This window comes from Homo sapiens, chromosome 11, assembly GCF_000001405.40.
Source record: "Homo sapiens chromosome 11, GRCh38.p14 Primary Assembly".
NCBI lineage: Eukaryota > Metazoa > Chordata > Mammalia > Primates > Hominidae > Homo > Homo sapiens.
The window spans coordinates 121,186,488-121,209,695 of record NC_000011.10 but is presented as its reverse complement, the minus strand read 5'-3'; the positions used below and the strand labels follow the sequence as shown (position 1 = coordinate 121,209,695).

General features: G+C 39.3%; 2 protein-coding genes across 2 annotated transcripts in view; both read right to left on the bottom strand.

Moving 5' to 3' along the window:
* The window catches only part of TBCEL-TECTA (TBCEL-TECTA readthrough), a 167,389-nt gene continuing 162,386 nt past the window's right edge, over window positions 18,206-23,208 (bottom strand). Inside the window, exons 27-30 of the mRNA NM_001378761.1 lie at window positions 21,702-21,864; window positions 20,529-20,616; window positions 19,816-19,932; window positions 18,206-18,990 (exon numbers count right to left, since the gene is read on the bottom strand). Of these exons, the coding sequence (NP_001365690.1) occupies window positions 18,890-18,990; window positions 19,816-19,932; window positions 20,529-20,616; window positions 21,702-21,864 (469 nt within the window). The 3' untranslated portion in view covers window positions 18,206-18,889. The remainder of the gene's footprint in view (window positions 18,991-19,815; window positions 19,933-20,528; window positions 20,617-21,701; window positions 21,865-23,208) is intronic.
* TECTA (tectorin alpha) overlaps window positions 18,206-23,208 on the bottom strand; it is a 90,248-nt gene continuing 85,245 nt past the window's right edge. Inside the window, exons 21-24 of the mRNA NM_005422.4 lie at window positions 21,702-21,864; window positions 20,529-20,616; window positions 19,816-19,932; window positions 18,206-18,990 (exon numbers count right to left, since the gene is read on the bottom strand). Of these exons, the coding sequence (NP_005413.2) occupies window positions 18,890-18,990; window positions 19,816-19,932; window positions 20,529-20,616; window positions 21,702-21,864 (469 nt within the window). The 3' untranslated portion in view covers window positions 18,206-18,889. The remainder of the gene's footprint in view (window positions 18,991-19,815; window positions 19,933-20,528; window positions 20,617-21,701; window positions 21,865-23,208) is intronic.

The window sequence follows — 23,208 nt, the reverse complement described above, 5'->3', positions numbered from 1 at the left end:
GTGTGTTTTCAATCTTTTGAAGCCATGAAAATCTCTTGCACCTCCCAGAGATTGTGACACGCACTCCTCTTGAGAAGCACTGTCTTCTTTCAAATTCTCATTAGCCAAGATGTCTATCTTTCATGTCTCAGAGGCTGACATGTCCTCCTTGAAGGATGCTGTCCCACTATTACCGTCTGTGGATGAGAATTACTGTCCCAGATGAGTGGACTCCAAATCCCCTATGGGGTGATGAGAAAACATCCAACTTTTATTTACTTTTTTTAAGCTATCAAATGAATTAAATTAAACTTTACTAACAATTAATACATTAGTTAACACTGATAGATTCACTTGATTAGTAAGTCAATCAAGATGGTGACCTGTGATACGCCAATCCTGCATATTCTGAGGAAAGAGTGGGCATATCACAATGGGAAAGGCTGCACAGTGGCACTTTCATTCATTCATCACCTTTCATCACATTGTGACATAGACACTTTCTTTACACTAATTTAGGTGAAATTTATGGTTTCCAAATGACACGGCTAAAAAAGATTCCTACAAAGAAATCACAGATAAAATACAATAGCAGGCCGGGCGCGGTGGCTCACGCCTGTAATCCCAGCACTTTGGGAGGCCGAGGCGGGCGGATCACGAGGTCAGGAGATCGAGACCATCCCGGCTAAAACGGTGAAACCCCGTCTCTACTAAAAATACAAAAAATTAGCCGGGCGTAGTGGCGGGCGCCTGTAGTCCCAGCTACTCGGGAGGCTGAGGCAGGAGAATGGCGTGAACCCGGGAGGCGGAGCTTGCAGTGAGCCGAGATCCCGCCACTGCACTCCAGCCTGGGCGACAGAGCGAGACTCCGTCTCAAAAAAAAAAAAAAAAAAAAATACAATAGCAACATTGTGAGCAGCACAGCACCATGAGTAAATTAATATGAACCATCCATCATGTGAATACAAATCTGTCCAATATTAAATGAGTTTGAGAGTTATGGAATATTACAAATTGCTTATAACATTTTACTAAACTTAATATTAAGTTGTGTAGTAGAAATTGGAGAGTATTTTAAATGAATAACAATAAACAAACACTATGTATCAAAAATATTAGGATTGGGCTTAAGTAGTTCCTAGAAAAAAATGTATAGCCTTAAATACCTATGTTAGAAAAAAGAAATAATTACTTTCATGAGCTAAGCCTACATTTTGAGAGGTTAGAAAAAAATAGCACAATTGGCTCAAAGAAAATATATAATAAAAACAACAACAGAAATTAGTAAAATAGAAAGCATAAATACCATTAGGAAAGATTAACAAAATTGAAGACTGATTTTTTGAAAGGCTAATAAAATTGACAAACCTCTGCCAAGACTGATTAAGGTAAAAATAGAGAAGGCCAAAATAATTAATAACAAGAATGAAAAAAGGGCTTCATGAAAGAGGTTGCAGACACTAAAAATATAGTAAATAGATATAAAAAACTTTATGCAAATAATATTTAAAAATTTAAAAATTTTAATGGAAAAATTCCTAGAATAATGAAACATCAAAACTGATTCAAGAAAAAATTGACATTAGTGGTTAAAAATTGTTCCACCAAGAAAACTCTAGGGACAAATCAAACAGAACAGAACACATCTACAGAACATCAAAAGAAAAAGTGATATGCAAGATTCCAGTCTTCAAAAACAATTGCAGAGAAGTCTTAAAATTAGGAAATATTCTGGAACTTATTTTATGAGGGCAGCATACTTTTGGTGTGAAATTCCAATAAGGATCATATGAGAAAGAAAAAGTACAGGCCAATATAAACAAATTATTAGCAATCCAACAATGTTCACAAGGTTAATATTTCATAAGCAAGTTGTATTTATTCCAAGAATGCAAGTGGAGCATAATATGAGGAAATCAACTAAGCAATACACCACATTAACAAGTTAAAGGAGAAAAATCATATGATCAACTCAATAGATACTGAAAAAGCATTTGAGAAAAATCAGCATCCAGTCATAATGAAAACCATAAGCAAAGCAGGTATAAGGTAACTTTCATAAGCTAATAAAGGACATGCAAAAATTTGAAAGCAAAGGTCAGACTTCATGGAGAAACACTGAAAGTTTTCATTAGTAGTCAGGAACCAGACAAAAAGTACCTATCATCACTCCTATTGAACAGTGCCCAAGACATCCTTCTCCAACAGGATAAGACAAAAAATTATAAGTAAAAGGTATAAGAATTGGGATAAAATCCAAAATTTTTATTATTTTTAGATTATATTATTGTGTATGTAGAAAACCCAATGATTCTACAGATAAATTATTAGAATTAGCTTATCAAGGTTACTAGAGAGAAATTTAATATACAAAACTATTGCATTTTAACAGCAATAGTTAGAAAATATATTAAGAAACAAATACCATTTATATTAACAACAAAAATAAAATACCCAGGAATTGTTTTTAAAAGAGTTATGAAACACGAGGAAGAAAAAAACTGCAAATCATTTGTAAAGATATTACAAACCTAAATAAACAGAGAATACTGTGTTTATAGGTAAGAAATGTTAACGTTATAAAGATGTCAGTTCTCAAATCGACCTTTGGATTCAATGCAATTCCAATAAAAATTCCAACAGGCTTTTTGTGGTTGTTTTGATTTGGGGAACTTGAGGAGCTGCCTGATTCTAAAATTTATATGTAAGAGCAAATGCCTGGTAATAGCCAAGACATTCTTGACAAAAAAACAAAAGAGAAAGACATGTCTTTCTAGTTATTAAGATTTATTATAAAGCTCTAATAGACTGTGGTTTTAGGGCAGGGATAAATAAACTGGCCAATAAATAAAATAGAGTGCTTAGAAAAAAATCCATTTATACAAAGCAGGCATTGAAAAATAGTGGAGAAAGGATAGACTATCACACAAATAGTGCTTAGGTTATTTGCTACCAAATGGAAAGAAAACTTAAATTGTATCCCAATCCCACACAAAAATCAATCCTAGTAAAGACTTCAATATAAAATTTGAAATTTTAAAACTTTTAGGAGAATATCTTCGTGAACTTGGAGTAAGAAAGGATTTCTTAAAACACACAAACAGAGAGAGAGAGCGAGAGAGAGGGAGACCACTAACCATAGGTTGATAAATCAACTGTATTAAAATTAAGAACTTGTGTTTCTTAAAAGAAAATAAATAGAGCATTAAAACAAGTCACATGTTAGGGTTATATTCTTTTAGTACATGTAAATATAAAGATTAGAATCTGGAATGCAAAATGATTCTATGAATTAAGAAAATGACAAACAACAGAAAAAAATGAACAAAAGACAAACAGATGGCACAGAATAGGAAACAAAATGGCTCATAAATTCATGTAATGATACTTAGCCTCAATAGTAATCAAGAAAATTAAATTAAAAACATGAGACTGTTTCAGACCCAACAGATTGGCAGAACAAAGGGGAACAAAGCTTTATTATACCGGGTGTGGGCAAACAGGCAGAGCAACTCTCATGCACTGTTGTTAAGACAGCAAACTGATACAATCATTTTGGAAAATTCTTGGTATTACTTAGTAAAATTAAACATTCGCTTTGACCCCGCAAACTCGTTCCTAGATAGATGCCCGAGAAACTCTGAGATCTGTGCACAAGAAGACAAGGAACAAAACCTCCATGGCAGTTCTACTTGTAAGAAAAAAAAAGAGATATAACTCAAATGTCCATCTATAATAGAAAGGTAAACAAGTTGTGGGTTATTCCTATAATGGACTACCATACAGAAATAAAAACGAATGAACTAGAGCTATACCTATTAGATAGATGAGTTTCAAGATGATGGTGTTGAATGAAAAAAGCAAGTCAGTAAGTATGTGCAGTATGATCCCCTTTATATGGAGTTTGAACAGAGGAAAAAGAAATAATACATTGTTTGGGATACATACGTAGGCATTAAAATTACAAGGAAAAACAGATGAATGATTAATATGATGATGGTTACCTTGAGGAGGGGTATGTGCATAGATTTACTTGGAGAGGACCATACAAATGAGGTTTGAAAGCCCTAGTAATATCCTATTTTGTAACCTATGTGGTTGGTACATGAGTGTTCAATTTATTGTAATTATTTAAACTGCATATCTTAATATACTCTTTTACACTTATGAAATAGTTCACAACAAACATTTAACTAAACATTTACAATTCTACAAAGTAAATACTTAGATATTTTCTTTGATTAGTTACAAACATACTTCTCAAAACTTTTTAACAAGTTAAAAATTACACTCATAAGGAAGAATAACAACATGAGAAAACCTTATTAATTTTGCTAGTATTTACCTAATGATTATAGAATTACCAGGTAAGTATCTGAAATTTTCACGAACAATGAAGTTTATTCTATCATTTTGCTCCTAAGATATTATTACATAATAATTAGTTAAAACCTGATCCTTTGAAAATGTATGGATGCTTTATAATATACATAATATATTATTAAATTAGTACGAACATCTAATTTGTCCATAAACACAAATATTAAGTTGGAGAGGCATGCTCTAAAAATTTCTTACTGGGAAATCACAATATTTGGGGACCATTGCTCATGATATCTTAAGACAGCAGTTCACAAACTGAGGGTGCCTAATAGGAGCACACGTTAGAAATGCTATCTCCTGGACATAACCCTCAGGGTTCTGATTCAGTTAGCCTGCAGAGGGTCCTGGAATATGCATTTTAAATACACAGTCCAGGTGATTCTGTTGCAGGTAGTTTATCAGCCACAATTTTGCTCCAAGTTTAGACCCACCATTAAAGCCACATCTTTAGAGAGCTAGGTCCCTTGACTGTAGAACTGCTTTTACTGAACGTTGACATGATGCCATTGACCTGCACTGAGGGGCTCTGTAAGAAAGAAATACTCCCTTTTAAACTTATGGCAGAAACTAGAATGAAGATGGAGTTGATAAAATAATGTATGTAGAAGAGCAGATCATAGAGCCTGGTACACAGAGAATACTCAGTAAATGGTGCCTTCTTATTGTTATAATACGCTGTCTTCTTTATGAGAGCACTTAGGAGCTAGTTCTTTCTGTTTTTAGTATAGGGAATAATTATGCTATTCTTTGTAATACAGCAATTTGACAGTATGGTTCTTTGTTCAATTTATTTTGATACTTGGTTTAAGTGGCTGTCATAGCTAACAAAAGGTACCTCCCACGGACATGTAGATCCCAACAGAAGAAGTGAAACATTGGTTGGGCTTAATGAATAATTATACCTATTTTTTTCCCACCTCATTTACCAGTTATCCTAAGCAGTTTGTTTTTCTCCTATAGACACTCAATTGAGTGACTTTTGGATTGTTTGCTGGAGTGCTTTCAATCAAATTAGTGGCCCATCCTTGACACTTCATAGAATTTCATGGCATGCAAAAACATGTCTAATTTTTTGTACTATTTTATATTCTTCACCTTTTTCTTTCTCAGCTAGTTCTAAATAATGCCTTTTTGTTGTTATTTCTATATTCTTGTTATTGCCTTAAAGAGTTGTTGGAATACAGTGAGAGGAAGGGAAGGAACAGTGTGTGGGTAGTAGGCATGTCGCTAAGATGGAAAACGAATAGGGAGAAGGGATGCAAGTCTCTTGGTCTTCTCAAGGTCACATACACCCTGGTACAGTAATCAGAGTTAGGGTCCAGGTATCCAATTCACATCATAGTCTTTCATGGACATTTCTCTTTGCCTTTCATGATATTTATCCACTAATTCTATATTCACTGGGTAAATACTGACAAATTAGTAAGATCTTTCATGGAGAATTGTGTTATTTTTGTTTACAAAATGTTCTCCACTGTCTCATAAAAGGTTATGGCACATCTTTTTAGTTAACTTGGAGAAAATTTCCAATGTTCACTCTAAAGAATGATAGGGGAGCAGTGTGTCTTTGATTTCTCTCAGTTGTTTGTGTGTATGTGTGAACTTAGAATATTTATTTTAATTTTTAAATTTTCATTGATTGAATTTTCATGGGCCAAAGTAACTGTTATCAGTGCACCTAGTCTTTTATTTACTTTATTTATTTATTTATTTATTTTTTATGGAGTGTCACTCTGTCACCCAGGCTGGAGTGCAGTGGTGCGACCTCGGCTCACTGCAACCTCTGCCTCCCAAGTTCAAGTGATTCTCCTGCCTCAGCCTCCCGTGTAGCTGAGATTACAGGTGCATGCCTGTATAAAATAAAAAATAATTTTTTTTTATTTTTAGTAGAGACGGGGTTTCACCATGTTGGCCAGGCTAGTCTCGAACTCCTGACCTCAGGTGAACCACCCACCTCGGCCTCCCAAAGTGCTGGGATTACAGGCGTGAGCCACCACACCCAGCCAATCCACCACACCCAGCCAATCCACCTTGTCTTAATAGAACTTTATGAAGATCATTATTTTGAAAAGAGGTTCCTGTTTTTTCATGTAGTTGAGGACAAATTTTTTTCTTATATTTCTACCTACTGGAAACAGCAAAAAGATCCAAGTGCAGTAATAATTTGTTTGAAATGAGTTTACATAATTTTTAATAAATGAAAGCTGCTCATTTCCTTTTCATTAATGCTTCACTGTTTTAGCCACTTTTAATTTCTCTTGCCTTTTTGGAAAGCCTTGCATGCTTGATGATTTTCCTTTTTAAACAGCAATTTGGCATTCAGAAACATCAGCAAGCTTTTTGGAGACTATTCCCATAGGAAATTTCTGTAGGGAAGCTTTTTCGGTAAGTGGCTTAGTGTTTTTAAGATGTTAATAACTTTGCTGATTTGGTCTTTCCTCAGATTGCAGTTAAAATTAATTGAAAAAAACAACAACAAAACTCTCATACACTTTACCTGAAAGCCAAATAGTCTTAAGGAATGGTGGACAAGTAAAGTAGGCTTTGAAGTAATTAATGGTATATCCTTTCACGGACACTGAAAAGTCACGGTTTACTACAAGAAAAGATTCATTCTCATACCTTTTAAGTGATTTTCAGCAAGGAAAGAGAAATAATCAAAGCTAGATTAGTTGACATTCTTATAGACACAATTCTTTACTAGCTAATCATCTGCACATCTACAGTACTGTGATAATTAATGACATGGAGATAATGAAGGATTAAAAAAAAAAAACTTACTCCGTACACTTACTGTACACAGGGCTCCATGTTAAGTGACTTAGATTTGTCATTTCACTTAATACTCTAAACAACCATAAGGGATAAATAGTATTTATATTTTAATTTATTTTATAGATTTTATAGGTTCTCAGAAAGGTTAAACAACTTACCTGAGATTATCTGGTGCTCAAGATGATTAGCTTTAAATACTCATTTCTATGAGCCTGGAGTATAACAGAATATTCTGCTTAAAATACTCACTTTCCTTGGTCAGGCTTCCTCCTGAGTTTTCTTCAGCTTTTTCTGGCTATTCCTCAGTCTCCTTTGGTAATTTCTCCCTCTCTTCCCAGCCTCTAAATTTTGATCCCATAGATTCTCAGACCTCTTGACATTGAGGCCTCTTCTAGTCTCACGCTCTAAATTCTGCCCCAAGTTTAAAATACCATCTAAATGCATGTGATCTCTATATACGGTTATCACCATCCCAGACAAGTCTGACGAGCCCCTGTCATGGATCTTACTGCCTACTTGACACCTCTCCTTGGATCTCTTGCAGACATCTCATGCTCAACATGTACAAAAATCAACACGTGATTTTCTCCCTGAAACTATTTCTTACCAAATTTTTATCATCTTTGTAAATGATATCATTCATCCATCCAGATGTACACATCAGATACATCTTTGATTCCTATCTTTTCCTTCTCTCCGTATCCAAGACATGACTTAGCCTCATAACTTCAACTTCCAAAATGCAGCTCAATGCCTTCCATTTCTTCCCATATCCCAGGTCCCTGGGCTTTTGCCAGTACTCCAGCCTTGGCCTAACACAATAGTCATTTGTTTTTCCTGCATCCTCTCTTTCTCCCTCCAAATTCATTCTCCATATAGTATTGGGAATTATTTTTAAATGTAAATTGAATGATGCCATTCTCCGGCTTACGATCTTCTAGCAGCTTACTATCGTCCCAGAAATAAAATTCAGCCACCTTCTCGTGGCTGACAAGGTCCCTGCCTTCCTCTGCAGGCCTAACTCCTGCCAGCCTAGAACATTCCACGCACACTGGCTGCTTCTCATCCATGCAAACATGCCACTCCCGAGACTTCAGGCCTTGTCCCTGCTCTGGCTTCTGTCTGAAATGCCTACCCTGGTGCCCACTCCCGACTTCATCCTTGCTGGGTTTCTTTTTCGCCCTCAAATCTTGGCTGAGTGGTACCTTCTCAGAAGGCCTGCTTGAAATTGACCTCGGTTCTCCATCCCCATTTTTGAACCTAACATCCGATTTGTATTTTTCATAGGACTTTTCTCCTTTGGAAATTACATCTTTATTTGATATATTTACTTGTTTATTAATGCTCTGCCCTACTAAACCACAAATTCTATGAGGGCAGGGACTACATCTGGTTCATTTACAACTGTAGACCTAATACCTCGTACTAGGTAGGCAATCAATAAATATTTGATGAATGAATGAATCAAGTACATCCAACTGGTAAGCGGTGAAACCAGGATCCAAACCCAGATCTGTCAGACTCCAGAATGTGTGTAGTGCACTAGTATGCTATGAGTAAAAGTAACTCATGTTTGGTCAAATTTTAGTATGAAATAAATTTTTTAAAAATCGAACATTCCTTTTTAAAAAGTGTTTTTTTTTGTTTTGTTTTTTTGTTTGTTTGTTTGTTTTTTGTTTTTTGAGACAGTGTCTCTCTGTCACCTAGGCCGGAGTACAGTGCTGCGATCACAGCTTGCTGCAGTCTCGACTCCCTCAGGCTCAAGTGATCCTCCCACCTCAGCACTGCAAATAGCTGTGACTACAGAAATGGACCACCATGCTCAGCTAATTTTTATTTTTAATTTTTTTTTTTTTTTGAGATGGAGTCTCGCTTTGTCACCAGGCTGGAGTGCAGTGGTGCGATCTCGGCTCACTGCAACCTCCACTTTTTGGGTTCAAGCGATTCCCCTGCCTCAGTCTCCCAAGTAGCTGGGACTACAGGAGCGCGCCACCACACCCAGCTATTTTTTTTTTTTGTATTCTAGTAGAGTCAGGGTTTCACCATGTTGGCCAGGATGGTCTCCATCTCCTGACCTCATGATCCGCCCGCCTCAGCCTCCCAAAGTGCTGGGACTACAGGCGTGAGCCACCACTCCCGGCCTTAATTTTGATTATTTAGAGATAGAAGTCTCCCTGTGTTCCCCAGGCTGGTCTTGAACTCCTGGCCTCAATCGATCCTCCTGCCTTGGCCTCCCAAAGTGTTAGGATTACAGGTGTGAGCCACCACGCCTGCGCTCTTTTGAAATTTGATAATCCCTATGATAAGCTTCTGCTGGCAATAGTGTGCTTGATGGACCTCTCTCCTCCAAACTGACAGTGACGCTGCATAACATAAATTCTACTATATTTCACATTTTGTTTACTGAGATGCCCAGACAAGGTCCCTTGCAGTGATTCTTTCAACTCCATCAAAAATTCTATGAAATCAAATAAAATGGCCTGTGCAAGTTACTTAACTTCTTTGAATCACTGTTTCTTCATTTATAAAAACAGGAAATAACCATTTTTTAAGGTCACTGAAGGGGACTCAAGGAAATAATAGATGCTAAACCCTCATCACCGGGCTTAGTGTATGGTAAATAAACAATAACAGGTTCTTTTAAAATAAAAGTCTTAATTCTTTAGTTGACTGAAAGACTCTAATCTTTAGGGTCAACTAATCAGGTTTGGTGTTTTTTTTGTGTGTGTTTTTTTTTTTTTTTTTTGACTGTTTCTAAATCCTGACATAGTCCAGAGGAGCCAGACTGACACGTGAAGTCATCGAATGCTGATTAAACAGAGGGGGAGTAGGCAGGAGAGCTGCCTCAGAAAGGGCCCCTAGGAATCCACACACAGGCTCTAAATCTAGATGTATCAGGCTCAGAATTTCCACTGAGTTTACACTTTACGACTATAGCAAAGAACAGCTAGAATCCCAGGTTGAAGTTGATGCCATTCTTGGAATTTGTGTTTGGCTCATGAATTTACATTTCCTACCACAGTAAACTTCTTTTTATAAGAGGAATATAGCAGCACACTCATTCTTTTCTAAATTGCTTTTAAAGAGAAATTTGATTCAGTTTATCAATTCTGCCCAAACAACAACATAAAGGTAAAAACACTGATTTTTACTCATGAGAATTTCTTTTCTTTCTTTCTTTCTTTCTTTCTTTCTTTCTTTCTTTCTTTCTTTCTTTCTTTCTTTCTTTCTTTTTCTTTCTTTCTTTCCCCCCAGAGGACTTTGTTATCCAGCATTTGCCAAGTGCTCTATTTCATGTGGTTTAATGAAAGTCTTGGGTCCCATTTTTCTTTGAGATCAGTTTGAGAGGTCCATATTTCTTTCATTTAAAAAGTCAGAATTTCTTTTCTGAATCTCAAGTTTTGAGTATTATCATGACAAAGGTAGACAAGCTGGCAGAGGAAGCCGAAGAAGTTCTCAGAATCTGAAAGCCTAATAAATGGAGATGAATGGATTTTGAATAACAAAACTCTAGTGCCATCTAACTTTGGGAAAATAAAATAGAACCTTTGCTAAATATTGATGTGTTTTGGAGAATAAAATTTTAGAGCTAAATACTAAAAATTTTAAGATTCATCAACTTTTACCCTGAAGCTTTAAGTTACACACACACGCATACACACAAAAATGCAAAAATAAAATGGAACCTTAATGTCCTTAATAACTGGGACTTTATAGCTAAAGGAATGGCCAAGGAACTTGTTTCGCAGCATCCTCGGGGGAAATTACTGGTGTTTCTTAGTATCCTATTGATGTGGTTTGGGTCTGTGTCCCCGCCCAAATCTCATGTGGAATTGTAATCCCCAGTGTTGGAGGAGGGACCTGGTGGGAGGGGATTGGATCATAGGGGCAGATTTCCCCCTTGCTGTTCTCATGATAGTAAGTTCTCATGAGATCTAGTTGTTTAAAAGTGAGTAGCACCTCCCGCTCTCTCTCTTCCTCTTGCTCTGGCCATGTGAAGAAATGCCTGCTTTGCCTTCTGCCACAATTGTAAGTTTCCTGCGGCCTCCCAACCATACTTCCTGTACAGCCTGCTAAACTGTGAGCCAATTAGACACCTTCTCTTTATAAATTACCCAGTCTCAGGTAGTTCTTTACAGCAGTGCAAGAACGAGCTAATACATCTATGGATTTGCTCTAATATTTATTTACTCATTTTTCAAGGTAATCAGTTTAGCTTTTTTTCCATTTATGAAATCATGTGTTTATTTAAAGGCAGTGGCATCAAAGCCCTTGGTTGCTTGCTTTACATTGGTTTAGTGTCTACAAGGAATTACTTTGTTAAATTCAAACTTTTTTCCTCAGGGCAATCCTGTGTTTATATTTTATTTCTTAGTTCTTGATTCCAGTAGATTTTTACTCACTGAATTAAATCTGAGAGATTCATTGTTTTCTTTCTGATAGTATTTTCCAAATATCTCAGAATTAAGATCATTTTCTCTATCTTTGATAAAAATCTGCTTAGGGGTTTTAGTAAAGTGAATTTCCTTTTTTTTTTTTTTTTTTTACATTTTTGGAAGGAGACTGACTGTACCTTCAAGGGCATCTGGCCCACCTGGCTAACTCAGGGTTCCATGAGAAGTTGAGGCCAATGCAGGGGCCACCCACAGCCCTGGCCCTCTGCACTCCTTCCATCATCCTCAGCTGCACTTTGCAACATATAGGAACAAAATATCCTTGTGCTACCTTCACAAAACTAAAAGGTTCTGCCACTCTCATTTTTCCAACCCATGTACATTTACATTCTTCTGGTGAGAAGGAAAAACTCGGCCAGGTGCTGTGGCTCACGCCTGTAATCCTAGCACCTTGGGAGGCCGAGGCGGGTGGATCACGAGGTCAGGAGATCGAGACCATCTTGGCTAACATGGTGAAACCCCGTCTCTACTAAAAATACAAAAAAATTAGCCGGGCGTGGTGGTGGGCGCCTGTAGTCCCAGTTACTCGGGAGGCTGAGGCGGGAGAATGGCATGAACCCGGGAGGCAGAGCTTGCAGTGAGCCGAGATCGCGCCACCACACTCCAGCCTGGGCGACAGAGCGAGACTCCGTCTTAAAAAAAAAAAAAAAAAAAAAAAAAATCAACTTACAATAGGGTTGGGATAAGTAATGTGGGAATTGTTTTACAAATAAAACAATAAGAGCAGACTTTGCCAGTGATCAGTGACTCAAGTGCATGTTTTAGCGGTGGCATTGAAAGAACCCACTTCTAACAGCAGACCCAAAGATGAGGAGTTTTGTTGTTGTTTATGTTGCTGTTTCTATAACATGAGAGCACCTCAGAATGATACTTTCTGGTAGAAGACTTAGAAATACAACCATACATTTTACAAATTTTATTGTAAAATTTATCAAATCACCACACATTAAAGTTCTACAGTTGTATCTTCCTAACAAAGTATGCAAAACCCTAAGGCAGAGGACAGAGAAATAGTTGTTGCCGTGAGGTCTCTTGGTTTGCAAGAGTTAGGGGTGCCTCTTTGGGGATCTACCTGGAAAGTTGACTTTTGCCGAATTTGTGTTTCTGGAGTATAATGCCTAGAAATACAACAAAGTCCTTGTGGGTTGTGACTGTCTGAAACTATTCTTCAAAATAAGAAGCATTTAACTTTGTATGATGGAGACATGTTTTCCTGTGATTTAGGCAGCCTGTGTTTTCAGGGAAATTTGTCTAAACAAGATACAAATGTCAACTTAGTTTTGGGGTTCTACTTAAAATTAACTAATGAAAGTAATTTTGTATCAACATGACCAGGTTGAGAATACAAATAGAACAGGCTAACAACAGGAGACATGAATAAAATCCATAGTGGCCAAGTATCTCTAGACTCACTACATTCCTGCTAATCTTAAATTAATATTCAGAATACTTCCACTCTTCTTCTCTCTTGGAGATTCAAAGTAAGCATTTCAAATATGGGGCTTTTTTAGGGGGAAAAAATTGGGTTATGTGCTATCCACAGCCCTTTTTCTCATTTTATGCTTTGAATATTCTGATATGACACCTAGATGCTTCTGCATTATATGTTAAGTCATTTTCCCCTTGTCGAATTAGTTTGCCAAATTGCTTTCTGATCGTGACTTTTCAGGAGAGCAGACTCCGTCCCCTGCACGGCTGCAGATATTCCTTAACAGCATTTTGCAGTCATCAACGTAGAGACTCATGGAAAGTGTGAATAAATACACACTTGTAACTTCTTGATTTGAATGACCCACCTAGTTATATAAACCACATTTAAGGACCAGGATGGCCTGTTAAATTAAGAATGTTTTTGGCAGATAAAAGGGAAATACTAGGAACCTTGTTTTTTCTGCCTTTGGTTAACATATAATTAACTCAGTAACAAATTTCTATGTGCCTACAGTCTTGAAATTTAAATAATTCCACTAATACTAGGTTGATCCAACGCAAAGGTTTTCAAGCCTTAAAGTAATTAAATGTTATCTTTTTCAGTAAAATAATGTATTTTTGCCCAATTAAAATAGGGCAATATCGGTGGATTTTTGTACCCTAAAGTATTCCACAAAGGAATTCAAAAGTTAGGGGGAGAAAATAAAGAATTCTAAGTTTGTTTGTTCTTAAAAGGCTCAAAAGGTCACTATCATTCTAATATGTCTCATTAGAAGTTAAAAATTATTAAATAAACCTACACATAAAAGCATACATATATGAGTAGGTTTATGTTCTTCTTTAGTTAGTACTTTTGGATATATATAACTTCAACTTAGTACTTTTCCTCTAATTTCTCTGTCAGAATGCAGCATGATCTAGGACTGAACAATATTAAATACAGTGGCAAAGCATTTGTTATGAAAGATGCTACATTTGTGTAAGGGATTGTTATTTCGTCCAATAGGAGACTATCTTAATTTCAAAATTATTTCACCATCAGTATCTTATGCTACTGAACAAAACAACAGCTAACCTAGAGGCTAGATGCAAACAGAAACACACAACGAAATGTACAGTGAACATTCTTCCTCCATTTGTTTCCTTAGCAAATAGAATTTGATTGCTGAGTTCTTCATGGAATGATGAGTCTTTTGTATTTTATTTCTATCTATAGACACAGAGATCTGTCCCTCTGCCATGGAGATGTTGTCTTATATGAGAGTCGTATTTCAGCAAACATAATTAAACCATCACAAACAGAGCCTTCCATTAGTCAGAACAGAGTTATTGCCGTTGTGCTGTAGGTGCATGTGAAAGTATTTCACATTCTGCTGGGGGGAAAAGACCACTAAATATTGCATGGGTTTTTCTTGATCAGATTGTTTATTTCTCAACATCTTAAAGAGGTACTTAATTTTTCTTGACAGCTATTTTTGTCAACACATTAGAGAAACGGATATTAAGGGCAAAATTTGCATGGGATGCCAAGTGCTGGTATTTCCTGGAGTAATGCGTACGGTATGCATAAAAATAAATCCCATACTGTTCTCCAGAAAACGTCCTTGGCATTTGATGTGTTTTCTAAAGCTATATTCTCATAATGTCCTGCGTCTAAGGTTTCAGGGTGGTAGTGGGGCGGGGGACCGGAATCATAATTCGATTGGTGTGGTTCAATACACATTTGAGCTTCATGCAAAAATAAACAGCAGACACTAGAGGGCGCTGTTTCATTTCCTTTTTCACTGGACTGTGCTGCAGATGTCAGCGTATGGGGCACTGCAAAATATCATCATGGTCTTCTAAACAGGCCCAAATTGCAATGAAGTACAAGCTGTAGAGATCCCCTGAGTTTTAGGAGAAAGGCTGGGAAGTTCAAAACAGGGTGGATGGTAAATTAATTCAGAATTAGTAAAGAAGTAATTTTTTATTACCCTAGCCCTTCATGATTGTCTTTTGATAATTACTTAATTCCTCTGGTTGAAAGAAATTTTATTAGATTTCAAGCTCCCACTAAATGTCAAATGGTTCTAAAAATAGCTAGAATATTAGACAATGTTAAACAATTAGCGCTCTCAAGTTTTGTCGTTAGAATTTTGAGTAGAATACATACCTACTACTGGTTGAGAAACTAATTACAGAATTCCCAGTGGTCACAAATGTCAGACCCCAAGATGTTTCTTTTGATATCAAACAAATACCAAGTCAATAAGATTCCCAATTAACTTCGTTTTCAACCTTTGCTAAGCATGCACTTTCTCACCCCTTCACCCCGCAAGTAAATCTTTTAGAGCAGCAGGAAAAGGCAATGCTCTGAAGTTATCTTAACATATACTATCATATGGCTTCTCTTTGTAAAAAGAGAAGGGATTGGGTTCGAGGGGGTAGGAGAGTGGGTGGGGTTCCCCAGTTCAAGTGTCTAGTGCCACTTTGTGACATAAGAACATATGAAAAGAAGCTTCATGTTCTTATGTTACCTAGAGGAAAATTAAGGTATTGAGGCATGTAATAATTTGTGTTTCAAGTAGAGAATTAGTGGAAGAGTCAGGATCATCTCTCAGTTCTTCTGCCTTCCAGGAAGTCAACTAAAGGGCCCGTTTGTTTTCAGTTCTGTAGAAGTATTTCTCTTTAATCCAGATAGAAGTGACGGACTCAAAGGCAATGTGAGCACCATCACCACTGATTTCCAGTTCTTCTGCCTTCCAGGCACACGGGATGTTTGTGCTTCCTCATCTCTAAAAGTCAGTTACAGCCATCTGGCTGTCATTGACCAATGAAGTGGGAACAGAAGCGATATGTGTCACTTCAGGCAGAAGCACGGAAGAGCTACGGTGGGATTCTCCAGGCTGTCTTCCCTTGCAAAGGTGAATCTTGAAGCCACACATTGAGCTGACAACATTGAAGGATAATAAAGCCTCCAGCAACTTCCATTCCAGGATGACAATGAAAGCAGGGGCGACTTGTGTGAGTAAGAAAGAAACCTTTGTTAAGTCACTGAGATTGTGGGGGTGTTCTCCTTTTTTGAGACAAAAATCTCATTCTGTTGTCCAGGCTGGATTGCAGTGCCATGATCATGGCTCACTGCAGCCTCAACCGCCCAGGCTCAAGCGATCCTCCCAACTGAGCCTCCCAAGTAGCTGAGACTACAGGCATGCGCCACCACCCCTGGCTAATTTTTGTATTTTTTTTGTGGAGATGGGCTCTCACTATGTTGCTCAGGCTAGTCTCAATATCCTGGGCTCAGGTGATCTGTCTGCCTGGGTCTCCCAAAGTGCCGGAATTATAGGTATAAGCCACCACACCTGGCCTGGGGTTTTCTGTTGTGGCATTACAACCAGGTTTATCTTGATGGTAGACATGTGAAGGATGCCAACCAAGTGAGAAAACCAAAAGCCAAGAATGAAAGTGTGGCAAAAAGGATTTCAAGTAAAAAGCTTTAAGAAAAAAAACTAGAATTTTTAATCGAGGAATTTCTAATGACTTTAATATGGGAATCAATAAAGAGGTGTTGTCAAGTAAGTAATACACCATTTCCTCCTTGTATGTTTTCAGTTAAAATTCATCTAAAAAGGCAGGTGTGTTGGCTCACGCCCATAATCCCAGCACTTTAGGAGGCCAAGGTGAGTGGGTTGCCTGAGCCCGGGAGTTCGAGACCAGCCTGGGCAACATGGTAAAACCTCATCTCTACTAAAAATATAAAAAATTAGCTGGGCATGGTGGTGCATGCCTGTAGTCCCAGCTACTAAGAAGGTTGAAGTAGTAGGATCACTTGAGCACAGAAAGTCGAGGCTGCAATGAGCCAAGATCATGCTAATAGACTCCAGCCTTGGCAACAGGAGTGAGACCCTGTCTCAGGGGAAAAAAAAAAATCATCTAAGGATCTCAGGTAAAACCATAAATGACACATTATTATATTTAGCTCATAATCTGTTTGATTTCAAAAGCCTAAACCTTTAATGGCATGAATGGAAATGGTGCATAAGCTCATCTGAATCCTCTGATCTTGAAGTATGGGATAGTATGGAATCCAGGTTTTCATGCAAACAAAGAACACACACTTAGAGCAGGCGCAGTGGCTCATGCCTGTAATCCCAGCACTTTGGGAGGCCGAGGCAGGCAGATTGCGAAGTCAGGAGATTGAGACCATCCTGGCTAACATGGTGAAACCCCGTCTCTACTAAAAAAATACAAAACATTAGCGGGGCATGGTGGCGGGTGCCTGTAGTCCCAGCTATTCTGGGAGGCTGAGGCAGGAGAATGGCGTGAATCTGGGAGGCAGAGCTTGCAGTGAGCCAAGATCGTGCCACTGCACTCCAGCCTGGGCGATAGAGCCAGACTCCGTCTCAAAAAAAAAAAGATCACACACCTAACATCCATTTCTATCTTGCTGAGGACGAAGTACTGTGTCTCAGCTAGAATAGACAATGGCTTGACTCCTTAATCCATCTCAGTGCTCAGCATTTCCCCAAAAGATCTTAAGATGTCCAAGCAGAAGCAGACACATATTTTTCTCCATCAATACCAGTTGTCCGCTCAGCTGCACAGCATGTGTGACTGCTGAGATAAGCTCGAATGTGTTGACTCTCCCAGGGGGCTGGGAGAACAAAACAGCTCAGTGCACACTCAGTCTACACCGCACTTCTTCAGCCCAGTGACAGTGTGATGCCAGTGCTTTGACATATGAGACAATGGCCATTTCACTCACACTCATGTTCAAAGAACACTAAGCATTTTTGCTCAGCTTTTCAGCGTTCCCAGAAAAATATAAAAATGCTATCCGTTTAAATCCAAGACAACTTCAAAATAAACCTGAAGTGGGTTTTACTTTGTTTTTGCCCTTAGAAAGCAAAGCACTCCAGGGATATATTTAGCAGGCCTTCCATTTTGTAGTTAATTATAGCAGATACGTGTTTTTGTACCACTTACAAAAGAGGATGCTGCCTGCTTCTCTTCTACACCGAACCTTAATGCTCTGCTAATGCTCTGTAAGTACACATGAACAACAATATAATGGTGCATTAATGTTCTGGCCAACAGTGCCTTCCTGGTCCAATTGCTGCTACTTCTTTAAAAAAAAAATTCATGGCATGCTATTTAGTGTACAAAGCTTAACATCAATAAGAATGATTCCAGCCACCAAGTAATGAGAATACTTGAACACAAAGTTTATTTAAGGATAAAACACATTAAAAAGTATTTGGTTGATTTGTAAAAAGAGAAGGGATTGGGTTCGAGGGGGTAGGAGAGTGGGTGGGGTTCCCCAGGTCAACAATATCCCCAGTGGCCAAAGCTGCCATGGCAAGGTTGAAGGACACAGTGGGTGGAGAAGCGCCTCATAGACAGAACACGTGCATAACGTAGATCGGACACTTCCAAACACCAGCAAGATTCCTTAGAGGGAGTCAAACCTTCCAGTCATCACTTCAAAATCGTTCCAACAGGCCCTCTCTCTGTAAAAAACTGTGATCCAGAAATAGCACTGGCTTGACAGATTTCTCTGGTCAGATTTCCAGTCAGATTTCTCTAACCAGAATTTTTTTCCTTTACTGGTTTTTCATGTGAACCAAAGTCTCTAGTGACAACTGTTTGGGAATTTTACACAAGAGAGATACTTTCCATAACTGGCTTGTAGAAGCCCCGTTTCATACTCTGAAAGAGGAGCTTGGATGGTCGCTGGTTTCTGGACCTTGGACCATTGGAGGCAGGTGGCATCATTTTGAGATGCTGGACACTTTCAAATAGGTTTTGACTTAAGGGCACACACTTTTTATCCTACAGGGTGTTGAAGTAAGTAAATTACAGTACTTTATATAGCAACCTTGAGTTAATTATGAGGTCGTGCCTGATTTATAGACAAAATGCCATAATGAAATCTGGATCATGATGAGAAGAAGCGTCCAGACTTGAAGTTCCATTGAAGAATTAGAGGCTGTAAACAGAGAGGAACACAGTAAGCCCTATGGGGGGAAAAATACCTGTTTGATAGGGATCAGACATCTTTGCAGCACTCAGCTAAAGAAAGGAAACTTCATTGCCAAGAACCCATTTTACCTAAATGGCCCTAAGGCAGCAAAGTAGCAGAATTAATCCAATCTTAAGAGAGTCCTACTTTGGGAGGCCAACACAGGCGGATCATGAGGTCAGGAGTTTGAGACCAGCCTGGCCAATATGGTGAAACCCCATCTCTACTAAAAATACAAAAATTAGCTGGGCGTGGTGGCGTGTGCCTGTAGTCCCAGTTACTCCGGTGGTTGAGGCAGGAGAATCGCTTGAACCCGGGAGGCAGAGGTTGCAGTGAGCCAAGATCATGCCACTGCACTCCAGTCTGGGCAACAGAGCGAGACTCCATCTCAAAAAGGAAGAGAGTCCTGCCAACCTTGTAAGAGGTCAGGGAAACCATATGCTAAGGCTTGTTTGCTGGAGGAAGCATCCCAATCCCAACCTTAGCCCAAGTAGACTTGGCAGCCAGATGTAGGCCAATATATGGTCCTTAAAATTGGCTGGATAACTTGTTTTTTTAAATTACCTTTATATTTTAGATGAAAGAGCAAGGTTTTTTTGTTGTTGTTGTTTGTTTGTTTGTTTAATGGCCCTAGAATTCCTTGGGCATGTTCCCCATCTTTCCTTCTTAATTTCTGGAGTTTTCGAGGGAGAGTTGCTGACCGAGTGGCCTTCAAATCTGAATTTCTCCTTCTGGTGGTAAAGAACCTCCCGTGTCTCCCAGCTGCCTGCCCCAGGGTAGAAGAGTGTCTACCTCTGCAGCTCTTGCCGTCCTCCTGCAGGGTTCCTGTTACACAGCTGCAGAGAGGCCCATCCACCCGGCTCGTGCAAATCTGCTCACACCCTCCATTGTCCTCACACCAGTCCAGCCCTACAAAAGAGCAGTTAGGAAGATTAACTACAGACAGTTCAACCCTTCCACTGGTATTGAAGGGAAGGGCTTTAAAAAGAGAGGAGGACAGGCTGGGCGCGGTGGCTCACGCCTGTAATCCCAGCACTTTGGGAGGCCGAGGCGGGTGGATCACGCGGTCAGGAGATCGAGACCATCCTGGCTAACACAGTGAAACCCCGTCTCTACTAAAAATACAAAAAAATTAGCCGGGCGTGGGGGCGGGCACCTGTAGTCCCAGCTACTCGGGAGGCTGAGGCAGGAGAATGGCGTGAACCCGGGAGGCGGAGCTTGCAGTGAGCCAAGATTGCGCCACCGCTCTCCAGCTTGGGCGACAGAGAAAGACTCCGTCTCAAAGAAAAAAAAAAAAGAGGAGGACAAAGAAAACCTCAATGCCATTGCTGAATGTTTATAAGTAAATGAAAAGATGTCTTTAAGGAAGCAGGTGATGTTCTCAAACCGGTGTCCCCAACACCAGCCTCCTTGTCCACTGGACCCACATCAGAGGTGAAACACATCTGAGCCTTGAAATCCCGTTGTTTTAATAATTTAGGGTGTGTTTTAGGGAACATACATACTTTTTCTCCTAATAGGTCCCACTGAAATGATCTGTTCTTTGGGCTCTTTTGTGTAATCTGTGGCAATCCTGGAATTGTGTGGGCAAGTCTGCAAGACAGAATACCAGGGGGAAATTTTCACACAATTAAGCTGATAACTTATTCTTCACCATGTTTCACCTCTAAAAGAGGCAGTGGCTCTGGCCTCAAGCATTATGGAGGCTCAGATTAATTAGAACCAATGCATTCTTGATCATTGAATCCACTGGGACTCTAGGCTGTATGTTGAACAGAATTAAATACACTCTCCACACTGGAATTAGTAATTTTCCTTTTTAAAAACCTCTCCTTCATTTCTGATTGATCCACACTGGAATTAGATTCAAAGAGGCTCCCTGCCCAGGAATAGGATTGCTGTGTCTCATCAGACACTAATGTATGCAGTATCATCTGTAAGTTGCTCTGACCATAATTCACATCTTGATTCTGCAAATATGGTGTAAGCATAAAGCTGCAATGTTAAAGGCTAGGGGCCAGGTATTGGTGCAATCAAATCTTAAGGACCCAGCCCGTAAGTGGTGGAGGTGGAAGCCTGGCACAGAAGAGATCATTGGTTTGCTACCTCATCCCTCACCCCCTCCAGAGTCTGATGTAGATCAGGTGTGATGCAGGACACCTGGATACATTGTATCCTGAGCTCAAGAGTTTGGTTCTATAGTGGAGTGGAACTTGGCCCAGTGGTCATTAGAGTCAGGCCGCCTGGCTCCTTGAGACTCTAGTGCAGTGGTTCTCAACCAGGCCAACTGGCAACATCTGGAGACATTTTGGGTGTTGAAACTGGGGGAAGATGTGACTGGTATCCATGGGTAGAGGTGAGGGATGTTGCTAACATCCTACAGTGCACAGAACAGTCCTCCACAACAAAGAATTATTCAGTCCAAAACGTCAACAGTGCCGAGCTTTGAGAAACCCTAGTCTAGCGTTAAGCCAATGACTGGTTGACAATTCAGAGATAGAAGAGTAAATAGATATATTTCCCTGCGTTTTCTCTCACTGTCCCATCAAAGATGACTGTCCACCCCAAGCATCTATGGATGATTCCAGTCCGGTCACCTGGCATTCACGATCCTCATGTTGGGAAACCAAGACAGTGAGAAATAAGGCTAAGCACTTTGTTTTCACACTCTCACTTACGATTTTACAGGAGTACTTTTCTGAGTCGCAGAGTGACACTGCACAGTGAAGGTGAACTTCGTCGTAATCCCCTATGAATTTAAAGACGGTGACGTGAAAGCGACAGGTCAGGGAGACTGCATTCTCCTCGATGCCAATGGTGTTATCTTTGAGGTTCTGACACCTATTCAGAAAAAATAATGGAATCTTTGCTTCACATGTTTTCCTCTTACACCTTAATCCTCACCTTCAGTTCAAAATTTCACTTTTCACATAAAACCACCATAAATGGCAGAAATGCCTTTACATTTGAAAGTGACCCCTGGACTGCATGGGCTTGTCATTTATTATCACTCCCTCATGTTTTCATAGTTTGTTTTGAAACATCAAACACCACCTTGAATTAGTATCCTAACTGCAACTAAAAACAAAACGACTGCAGGGACCACATTCAATTTCCCCACGCTTCAGTTTCTCATTCCGCCCCCTCATAATGTTGTGTTCTACCGATACCAATTTAATAAACACAAGATTCATTCTTACTTCTTCTGTACTTTCTTCAGTTAATTATCAATGTTGGCAAGGGCCCCTGACTCAAACCCTGTTGGGAATACTTCCCATGCGTCAAAATAGGTAGGAGCTGGAGGGGAAAGAAGACCAGTCGGGGTGAGCTGCAGAGTCGTTTTGATGTAGCTGACTGCCACTTTTCTCAGCCCCCTTCCTTCTTGTGGCATTGAGCCAAGAGACAACCCCAGCCAAGACATATCTCAGGCACAGATAACTTGCTTCAATTATGTATAGTTCCCCAAATGCATCAGAGTCTCCTATAGTCCTGTGTCTTTTCATGCAATGTTTCCCCCACCTGGAAGATCTTCCTGCTCTTTGTCCAATGCATCACTCCTGCCCTTTCTCCAACACCAGTTCTACGGCAACCTCTCTTCTATAAATGTCCCCTAGTCATGCCCGGACCAGGCACAAACAAATGGCCTTTTCTGAGTTTGCCAACAGCCCTCTGTTGAGCTCCTTGAGTGCAGGAACCAAGTCATGTTCCTTACTGTGTCTCCAATGCACTACATGGCATGTGGCATGTATTTGAAAACTTCTGTCAGATGAATGAATGAGTGAACAAATGGTGTTGCCACAGCCAAGGCTGGCCCATAGGAGCTAAAAAGCTCTTTAAAATGATAAAGATAAAAAGGGTGACTCTTTTCCTTATATTTCCTTTCCCTAGTCCACAGGATTAAATAGCTTAGCAATAAGGAAAATTAAAAATTGAAGTTATCCTTCAGCATTCCCACACTTAATATGTTTTGTAATTAGCCTTCTAGGCAAAATGCAAGTTGCTTTTCAAGGCAATAGCCTCTGAAGTGCTTTGAAACAAAAACTTACATGCCATACTTTTCCTTAACACTGTTATTCATTTGGATAATCTGAACAGGCTCAAGGATTCTAAAGTGGTAACAGCTCTTCAGTCTTCACACTGACCTTCCCTCTTAACCAGACCACCAACTCTCTCCCAAGGAGATGA